The sequence below is a fragment of the Homo sapiens genome, chromosome 4 (assembly GCF_000001405.40).
Source record: "Homo sapiens chromosome 4, GRCh38.p14 Primary Assembly".
Classification (NCBI taxonomy): domain Eukaryota; kingdom Metazoa; phylum Chordata; class Mammalia; order Primates; family Hominidae; genus Homo; species Homo sapiens.
Window position 1 is genome coordinate 137,423,076 of NC_000004.12, and position 11,158 is coordinate 137,434,233.

The window sequence follows — 11,158 nt, forward strand, 5'->3', positions numbered from 1 at the left end:
AGGATTCTGCAGAGAAACAATCTGTAGGATATAAAGAGATTTATTCTAGGGAATTGATTAATATGGTTATGGAAGCTGAGAAGTCCCATGATTTACCACATAGAAGCTGATGAGGGCTTCTCTCAAACTAACGATCCCTACTTTTTCATTAATTTATATGTTTAGGGCACTTAAAAGAAGATAGGAGATTTCTGGGCATGGGTTCAACTTACGGAAGCCAGTCGTGTAAGTCAGTCTGGGTCTAAAGGCTTGAGAATCAAGGAAACAAAATGGTGTATATCCTGGTCCCAGGGCAAGAGAATAATTACATGCCAGCTAAAGGAGTGGGACAGACAAAGAGGTAAATCCTCCTTTCTTCCATGTTTTATTCTATTAGTGCCTCAGTTGATTGAATGATGTCTACTCACATTGAAAAAGGCCACCTGTGTTACTGAGTCTAATGATCCAAATGTTAATTTCATCTGAAAACATCCTTATAGACTTCCTCAGAAATAACGTTCAACCATGTATCTGGGCATCCCTGATCCAGTTCAGTTGATGCAAAACTTAAACATCACTGGTGGAGTACATCAGCTAGCAACTTACTGAGAAAAGAGGAATAGAGATAATTTTTGAGACTATGCATGTGTGAAGAAAATGTTTTTCTATCTTCATATTTGATTGATAGGTGATAAAATATACAATTTTATTTTGGGAACAAGTCCCACCAGGACTTTGAAAGTGCTTTTGCTTTGTTTTTGTTTTTGTTTTTTTCAACTGGTTGCCTGTACCACTACAGAAATCTCTGATGCGATTATGAGTCCTGATCCTTTTCATGTAACCTATATCTATATCTTCTCCCACTCTCAAAACCTTTAGGATCCTCTCTTTGCCAAACTTCAGTTTTCTAAAATTTCAATGTGATATGCTTTAATACAAGGGTGCCAGAAACCGGGTAGTTTCTTTTCACCTGGGAAACATGCTCTACTGTGCTGGGAAAATCCCTTGAATGATTTCTTTGATATTTTATATCTCTCCTTTTCTCTATTTTTTATTTTTGGAAATATTTTTAGGTGATGGCATATTGATCCTCTAATTTTCTTTACCTGTCTCACTATTTCTCATCAATTCTTCTATTTTCTAACTTTTCAAGCTGCTTTCTAGATTTTTATCTTCTAATGTTTCAAATGCATATTTTCTAAAAAATTCTGAACACATGCATACAATTATTAATACATTAATAATAAATTACTTGTATATTAATAATAAATTACTTGAATTTTTAATTACTAAAGTGTCTCTTTTCTCCAATTTCCTTTTTACTTTTTTCTGTTGTGTATTTTGGTTTCCATCTCTCTCATTAGGGCTTCTCTCAAACTAACAATCCCTACTTTTTCATTAATTTATATGTTTAGGGCACTTAAGATGGGAAATTTCTGGGCATGGGTTCAACTTATGGATCTATGGGCTGGTCAAAGCCTCAAGGAAGATTCTTTTGTCATCTATTATGAGGATTAAATTTGTCCGTAAAATTTGGAGGACCAAGAGAATCACAAATCTAGTTTAAAAACGTTCCTGTAATTCTCCATTTTTTTTATTTTTTATTTATTTATTTATTTATTTTGAGACGAAGTATTGCTGTATCACCTAGGTTGGAGTACAATGGTATGATCTCATCTCACTGTAACCTCTGTCTCCAAGCTTCAAGCAATTTTCCTGCCTTAGCCTTCCGAGTAGCTGGGACTACAGGCATCTGCCAGCACACCAGGCTAATTTTTGTATTTTTAGTAGGGACAGGATTTCACCATGTTGGCTAGGCTGGTCTTGAACTTGACCTCAAGTGATCCTCCCGCCTCAGCTTTCCAAAGTCCTGGGATTACAGGTGTGAGCCACCACACCAGGCCTATGGCCTATCTTTTTATTTTTTTGAAGTCACTACCACCAATAGTACTGTGTAGTTTTATTAACCATTTAAATATCTTGTACTTAACTATTTAAGCATCTGGTAAGATTGGGACACAATTGGGATTGAAAAGTGAACATATATTATTCAGCAATTAAAAGTTCTAAAGAAGCCACTACATACTCTTCACAATATGTTTTCACAGAGAAAAACAGTACTTGCCATTAGCCCAGCACACCAAGTGTACCGAAATAAAAAAGAGGCAACAAGAAAAATATCTACATTAGAAAGAACCACACTTTCAGTTTCTCCCCTTTATCCCCTAAACCAACATATTACTCTATGGGTTTATCTATACAGCTGCCCATTAGCTTCTAGAGTATTGTCAGAAGGGAAAGAATAAATGACACTGGCCAGTAGTTTTTGGATATTTAGGAAAGAGAGGTGAAAGTCAGTTCTCAGAACAAATTAGTCAGCTTCAGTCTCATCAACAGGACCTCTGGATTCTTTGTTCTTCTGCACCTGTTCAGTGTGCTTATCCTTCTCTGGCAAACACTCCAGTTTGACAGCCATTTGTGCCTCTCTATTCTCTTCATTAGCTTTCATTTTGTGGGTGAGGTTCTTTTTGCCATTTTGCTGAAGTTAGTATTCTCTTCTATTGCTTTCTAAACCACTTATTTCTCCATCCTTTGCAAGCTGCTTCAAGATCTCAGCTTAGTAGGACTTGTGCCTTTCTTTTGCAGCTTCTCATATCTTCTGAGTTTCCTCTAAGGAAATTTTCCTTCTTCTGTGGAGAGGGGAAAGGGAATTATAGAATTGATTCCTTTGACTGAGGGCTGAGAATTAGTTCAAAAGCCTGGCCTGAAGCACCCTTCTCCAGTTCTTTCACCTGGATATCAAAAGAAGCCGGGTAAATAGATGACAAGAGACAGGCAATGTGTTCTATAGAATCCACTGGGGTAATGAAAGGCCATGAGCCCACCATCCTTATCGTACCTCTGCTGGTGGGACAGGTCCTGGTAACAGGCTGAGTAGCTGAGAACCTCTTCCTCCTGTCATCCCTGACCCAAGCCTGTGCAACCCAAGCTGTCCGCACCCCACACCCCACAAAGAGCGTGGCCCGTCATCTGTCACCCACAAGGGTGATCACGGGGATCTAATTCTCTCTTTTAAATGGTAAATGTCCCTTTAAATGAAGGACAGAAAGAAAGGGAATTTTTCTTGTTTTCTCTTTTCAGAATTTAAATGATGTTCAAATCCTGAGGTGTTTCTGAAATCAAATAGTAGTATCTCTTAGATAAGTGTACTCAACAAACAAATGAAAATATAAGAAAATACCCTACAATGGCCAGGCGCGGTGGCTCACGCCTATAATCCCAGCACTTTGGGAGGCCGAGGCGGGCGGATCACGAGGTCAGCAGATCAAGACCACCGTGAGACCACGGTGAAACCCCGTCTCTACTAAAAATACAAAAAAATTAGCCGGGCGCCGTCGTGGGCGCCTGTAGTCCCAACTGCTCGGGAGGCTGAGGCGGGAGAATGGCATGAACCCGGGAGTCGGAGCTTGCATGAGCCGAGATCGCGCCACTGCACTCCAGCCTGGGCGATAGAGTGAGACTCTGTCTCAAAAAGAAAAAGAAAAAAAAAGAAAAAGAAAATACCCTAGAATTTGTAGATAAAGATATAAAGACATAAGATGCAGGGTATACAATCATGTAGTTCATATTATACATTCATATGGAACATACCAAGTCATATTTGACAGTGTTCAGTAGGTGTCAGGTTGAGCTCAAGACAATCATGGTTCTTCCAGGAATATTCTACCCATCATTCTGATCTGTAGAAAAAAGGCCGTTCTATGTCTTTAGTCTGATTCTGGGGAAGAATTATATCGTTCTTTTACAATATATTAATTTATATATAAACCCTATTCTGTATGGGAAACCATTGTTAATAATGTAGAAAGACTTCACTAAAAATTGGACAACCAATTATTTGCTTCTTTATTTTATAGTAAGGATATAATATGGAGACCTCTCTATATATGCTCTTCTCTTTATTCTGTAGAATTAAGACCAAAGATTAATCCTTACATGAACAGATTCCCATCAATATAATAAATTTAAAGTTTAGAGAATATTGCATTTTTAGATTTGATTCTGTCATCGCCTTATAGAAAATCCACAGGTGCTATCATGGGATATATGGCGGGTGGTAGAAAGAAGATTAATTTTTAAAGGTGTTTCAATATGAGGATGAGTGGTTTACAATGTGTATAAATCTTTATAAAGAATTCTCCTTTGAGCCAGTTGTGGAATATGACAGTAACCACTTCTATGTAGGTATCAAATATCATAAAATCAAATCTCATAAAAATCAGCAAACCAAAAGTAGACTGATCTCTAAATCACAAGGAAATTGTATGCAATGGAGTGGTGGGAGCAATCTGTATACTAAGGAACATTTGCTTCATCAATCAGATGTGAATGTGCCATTCTAATACATGTTTTCTGATTCTAATAGCTTTAGTGGAGTACACCTGAGACATAAAAGTTTATACTTTTACCATAATACAGACAGTGGGGTTTCAGAAAGCGTTAGTGTGTATAACAGCCTGTCATGACTACTACATTTGGCAAAGAAAATCTTTCTCTAATTTTTTCCTACTGAGAAAACAAGAATTTGGCTTTCATTATGTTCAGTTACTCAGGGGAGAACTTATTATTCATCAAAAGACATACTCTTTAGTCTTCCTTTAAACTGGGCAGAGAGACTTTACTACATATAGAAAATAACCCAGCTTGGGCCGGGTGCGGTGGCTCATGCCTATAATCCCAGAAGTTTGGGAGCCCAGGGCAGGAGAATCACTTGAGGCCAGGTGTTTGAGACCAGCCTGGCCAACATGGTGAAACCCCATCTCACTAAAAATACAAAAATTAGCCAGTAGCAGTAGCATGTGCCTGTATTCCTAGCTGCTCTGGAGGCTGGGGTGGGAGAATCCCTTGAGTCTGGGAGGCAGAGGTTGTAGTGAGTGAGCTGAGATACTGCCACTGCACTCCAGCCTGGGTGATGGGAGTGAAATCCTATCTAAAAAAAGAAAAAGAAAAGAGAAGAACCCAGCTTATTTTTCTGATTGGCTAATGTTTCTCAGCAAAGGGAATATCTAAGTAGTAGATAGAAAAGGGAAACACTCTAAATTCAGTCCCCAGATATCCCTGGTTAAACTGAGACTCTCCATTTGAAAACTTTGGACTGATTTCTACAACTGCATTTTTGGCTAGCCATCCTCGATACATTTTACCTCTTAATATGAGAAATTAAACTGTATTTCTACTACGTCTCATACTAATGTACATATCATTTTAAAATCCACCTTTGTGGTTCAGGGAGAAGTCTATTGAAACCCATAACTACATGTAAAACATCAACATTAGCAACAACAAAACATGAAAAGAAAACGTTATTTTCTTTTCAGTCATTATCCACAAATCTTGTCAGCAATGTACCTGAAAAAATAAGTGAAAATGCTCCTTATTTTGATTCGTATTGCAGTGGTTCAGGCAATACTACTTAACTAAACTGAAAAATTGTATACTGGGTTTATTAGTGCTGATTTTGATACTTTCAGACATGCTATAAAAATACTATGCACTTTGGCAACAACCTTTCCTGATAGAGGAGTAGAGTGACAAGGTATCTATAAACAAATAAATAAAAGACTGCATAAATAAGCCAATGCAGTCTACTGTCATATAAATTGTCTGCAAGAGTTAAGCTTAGAGAAAAAAAAGTTTTTGTCCAGTTTCTGTGATCCTTTGCATCATATGTTTGCTACTAATATTTTTTCTTAAATTTATAAAAGACAATTTTAGCAATGGGAACAGTAGTTGGAATAGGTTATTTTCTGTTTACTTTGATACTTAAAGGCCATCAGAAGAATGGACTTTTTCCTTTAATTCCCTTCCTGCCTTCTTTTTTACATATAGTAAATTTCCAGAAGAAAATAAAAGGATTCAATTTATTTATCCTATGTGAAAATACATTTTGGAATCTATAATAGACTTTACTGAGAAATACTCTAATTATGCTCATCAATTTTACCTAGACAAAGCTGTACTTGTTAAAATATAAATAAGTTTATTTCAGTTACTTTTTCACCACTTAACCATTATCATCATCAAAAAGCATGTATTAAAAATATATTTCCACTTAACCTAATTGTGGTTGCTATACATAAAATTTGATTAGATATAATTACTGGCTATGATTAGATTGTACAGAAAAATCAGAAGTTTTGCACTGCAGTTTTCCAGTGACTTAGCAATATAGGCAGATAATTTAGACCAAATTACTCATCCTCACATATTTCAGCCAAATTTAAATGATAACAATTATTGTTACTATTATTATTTTCAGAGACAGGGTCCCACTCTGTCACCCAGACTGGAATGCAACAGAAAGATCACAAGTCACAGTAACTTTGAACTCCTGGGTCCGAGCAATCCTTCCACCTTAGCCTCCCATGTAGACAGGAACACATGCACTCACAACCAGGCCAGAGCAGTGTTTTAGTTTTTAGCAGAGACAGGATCTCACTATGTTGCCCCGGCTGGTCTCAAACTCTTGGGCTCAAGTGATCCTCCTGCCTCAGCCCCCCAAAACACTGGGATTACAGGTGTGAGCCATTGCACATGGCCATTCTTTTTAAATCTTAAAATCTGATATAGTTTGGATATTTATCTCCATCCATATCTCATGTTGAAATGTAATCCCCGATGCTGGAGGTGAGGCCTGGTGGGGGGTATCTGGATCATGGGGGCAGATCCTTCATGAATGGCTTGAGCCATACCCTTGGTGATAAGTGAGCTTTTGGTCTGAGTTCACATGAGATCTGGCCATTTTAAAGTGTGTGGCTCCTCCTCACCAACTCGTGCTTGCTCCTGTTTTTGTCATGTGAAGTGTCTGCTCCTGCTTTGCCTTTTGTTGTTAGTAAAATCTTCCTGAGGCCTCCCCAGAGGCAGATGCCAGCACTATGCTTCCTGTACAGCCTGTAGAATCACGAGCCACTTAAATGTCTTTTCTTATAAATTACCCAGTCTCAGATATTTCCTTATAGCAACACGAGAATGCCTAATAAAGAAAGTTGGTACTAGGTGCTGGGTATTGTTATAAATATACCTGAAAATGTGGAAACAACTTTGAAACTGGGTAACAGGCAGAGGTTGGAAGAATTTGGAGGGCTCAGAGGAAGACAGGAAGATGAGAGAAAGTTTGAAATTTCGTAGAGACTGGTTGAATGGTTGTGACCAAAATGCTGATAGTGATACGAATAGTGAAGTCGAGGCTGCCAAGTTCTCATATGAGTATGCAGAACTTATAAGGAGCTGGAGCAAAGCTCACACGTCATTCCTTATCAAAGAGCTTGGCTGTATTCTGCCCATGCCCTAGGCATCTGTGGGAGTTTAAACTGAAGAGTGACAGTCTAATGTATCTGGTAGAGGAACTATCTAACTAGCAAAGTATTCAAGATGGGGTCTGGCTGCTTCTAACAACCTATGCTCAGTTGCAGGAGCAAAGAAATAACAAAGCTGGAATTTATATTTAAACAGGAAGTAGAGCATAAAAGTTGGGAAAATCTGCATCCTGGTTATATGACAGAAAAAGAAAAAGCTTTTTCAGGAGATGAATACAAGCAGGCTGTGGAACAAGCACTTGCTAGAGTTATTTCTATAACTAAAAGGGAACCAAGTGCTAACATTTAAGACACTGGGGAAAATACCTCAAAGGCACTTTAGAGATCTAAGAGGCAATCCTTCCTATCACAGGCTCTGAGACCTAGGAGGACAGAATGGTTTTGTAAGCCAGGCCCATGGCCTCACTGCCCTGCAGTCTTGAGACACTGCTCCCTGCAACCCCGCCATTCCAGCTCCAGCCATGGCTCAAAGGGCCCCAGGTGCAGCACAGGCTGCCACTCCAGAAAGCACAAGCCATAAGCTTTGGCAGCTTCCAAATTGTGTTAAGCCTACAGGCAAATAGAATGCAAGAGTGAAGGCTTGGCAACCTCCATCTAGATTTCAGAGGATCTATGAGAAAGCCTGGGTACCCAGGCAGAAGCCTGTGACAGGAGTGGCCCTCACAGAGAACCTCTTCTAGGTCATTGTGGAGGGAAAGTAAGGGGTTGGAGGCCCCACACAGAATGCCCACTGGGGAACTGCCTAGTGGAGCTGTGAGAAGGGGGCCACCATCCTACAGACCCAAGAATGGTAGATCACTAGCAACTTGAACCCTAGGCCTGGAAAACCTGTAGGCATTCAACAATCTCAGAGCAGATATAGGAGCTTTACCCTGTAAAGACACAGGGAGCAGAGCTGTCCAAGGCATTGGGACTCTACCCCTCACACCAGTGTGTCCTGGATGTGGAACATGTAGTTAAAATAGATTGCTTTGGAACTTTAAGATTTAATGACTGCCCTACTGGGTTTCAAACTTGCATGGGGCCTGTAGTTCCTTTCTTTTGGATGATTTCTCCCTTTTGGAATGGGAATGTTTACCCAATGTATATACCCCCATCGTATATTAGAAGTAACTAACTTTTATTTATTTATTTATTTATTTTACAGGCTCATAGGTGTGAGTGAGGGACTTGCCTTGTCTCTGATAAGACCTTGAACTTTACACTTTTGAGTTAATATTGGAATAAGTTAAGATTTTGGAGGATTATTGGGAAGACATGATTGTATTTTTCAATGTGAGAAGAACATGAAATCTGGTGGGACCAGGAATGTAATTGTATAGTTTGGATATTTGTCCCCACCCCAATATCATGTTAAAATGTAATCCCCATTGTTGGAGGTAGGGCCTGGTGAGAGGTGTTTAGATTATGGGATGAATCCCTCATAAATAGCTTGAGACATCCCCTTTGTGATAAGCAAGCTCTCACTCTGAATTCACATGAGATCTGGTCGTTTAAAAGTGTGTGGCATCTCCTCCCCACTCTCTCTCTCTCTCTTGCTCCTGTTTTTGCTGTGTGAGGTGTCTGCTCCTGCTTTGCCTTCTCCCATGAGTAAAAGCTCCCTGAGGCCTCCCCAGAATGAGATGTTGGCACCGTGCTTCCTGTACAGCCTGCAGAACTGTGAGCCAATTAAACCACTTTTCTTATAAATTACCTGGTCTCAGATACTTCTTTATAGTAACACAAGAATGGCCTAATGCAATATCCTTACTTCACATTTAGAAAAATAATTCAGCCTTTAGTCTATAAATAATTTGAGTGTCGGAGTTCTTTTCCTCTCATTTATGTATTTTCATACATAGAAATGTTCTTATAAAAACAAGACTAATATTAGATTATGATGTGGGATGGAGAGTTTTTCAACTGAGATCTAATGTTCTACATTAGTTCCTTCATTTTGAGATGTCTTTGTAAATCCTCAGCCACCAACTTCACCTGCAGAATTTCGTATCATTGATTGTTATGGTTAAGTAATAGTATAAGAAATTCTTTTCCCTGAAAACTACTGAACTCATGAAAAATAGTATGGAATGAGAAATACAAATAAAGCTCAAGGTGGGGAAAGATTTTTAAATGAACATGAGCTTCTAGAGAGGTTGCAATCTGATACAAATTCTGTGAACCCCCAGAGGGAAAGAGCAATGTGGAATTACCATTAGGTTTCTGAGAATGTGGAAACTATTTTACATGCCAGGATATGTGAAGCAAAGCCGAGTTCCCAAATGTGAAACTGTCTGGCAGGCAGAGTTTTATTTTTAAAAATTTTACAACTCTTGGTTAAAACTTCAGCCATTACCTGACACTAGATGGATTTTTTTTTAATTCTATAGTAAAAACATAGATTTGTATGCATTCAAAGTTTGATAGTATCCAGAAATTTAAAGAAAAACAAATGAATTGCTAGATAACTTAGGAAAACATGTTTGCTTTGGACACACAAACAAACAATAAAAACCATTTGGGTTTAAATTTAAGTATATTGCAGTTTTCTTGCTGACTAAGGAATGGAATGGCATTCTGAGAATGGGAATGGGGTAGAAGAGGGGACAAATGCCTCAACAAAACAATAAAGTATCAGTGAACAACTGTGGCTGGAAATGTACCATCTCTTTGAATGAGTGTGCTAGTCTCCTTTTTTCTTTCCTAACAATCTGGTTTCTCCATTAAAAAAATGAAAGTACTTTCAAATGAACTGAAACATTACTCTCACGAAAACATAATCTTCAGATTTTTCCATCATCTACCAAAAATGAATGTGGAACAGTGTTTTAAGATAATATCCTGCTCATATGATCAGTTAATTTTTATGTTTAAAAAATTATGTTAATTGCAATGATACTTTTGGTAATGTTTAAGTCATTCTTATTGTCCCATAGTTGTATTCAATTTTTATTCATCATTTCTATTTTCTCTACATTAATATTTTAAATTTTAAATATACTAGTTACTAGAAATATAATTAATATTTCTTAAAATAATTATCAGGTATGGAAACTAGATCTATGCTATTAAATAACAGAAGATTGCATTGAGAAGGAAGAAAACAAGAGGCATATAATTTTAGATATGGCAGAGTTTTGATCTTGAATCTATCTTTATGTTTATGATTTTATTTTAATGTCTGTATTTGGTTTTTAGAATTCAAAGAATCACAGCTAATAAAACTGGCATAATCAAGCATTTATGCAATTAATAGCATCATACTCCCAGAAGTCACACATCACATCATCAAGAAACAGAAAGTTGCATTTTCCCCAAGTTATGGAAACTGTATGAAACAAACATAGAAAAATCTTCCCGTAGCTGCTGTATGTGGTTTCCAAGAGACTTGAAATTCTATTTCACCTTTGGAATTTTACCTGGGTCCCTTTGTATTCATATCTTCAATTCTCTCAAATGTTGATAATACTTTTAATTTTTTTTTTGCATGACCTTTTTGGTGTATTTTAGTGTTTTCTCTTCATGTCTTCATTTACTTTCAGCTCTGAAGGTTTTTAATTTATTTTTTATTAAATTATCATTTAGGAAGTTGCGCTTCATTTTAGAATCAGCCTCTGATCTGTAGACTTTGTCCTTGTGATTCACACTGTCTGGATTTTTTTTTTTTTTTGAGACAGAGTCTCGCTGTCACCCAGGCTGGAGTTCAGTGGTGCAGTCTTGGCTCACTGCAACCCCTACCTCTAAGGGTCAAGCAATTATTGTGCCTCAGCCTCCCAAGTAGCTGGGATTACAGGCATGTGCCACCATGCCTGGCTAATTTTTGT

At 37.9% G+C, this 11,158-nt stretch overlaps 1 pseudogene, besides 1 other annotated feature; it reads right to left on the bottom strand.

Annotated features, from left to right (window-relative positions):
* Nucleotides 2,178-2,854, bottom strand: STMN1P2 (stathmin 1 pseudogene 2; annotated as a pseudogene).
* Nucleotides 3,990-4,159: an enhancer, noted in NCBI's record as "experimental_74716 CRE fragment used in MPRA reporter constructs". NCBI's record gives its function as "activates a minimal promoter by MPRAs in K562 erythroleukemia cells, with activity observed for the non-introgressed 4:138348304 variant allele {active_cell/tissue: K562}" and the evidence as "EXISTENCE:reporter gene assay evidence [ECO:0000049][PMID:34662402]".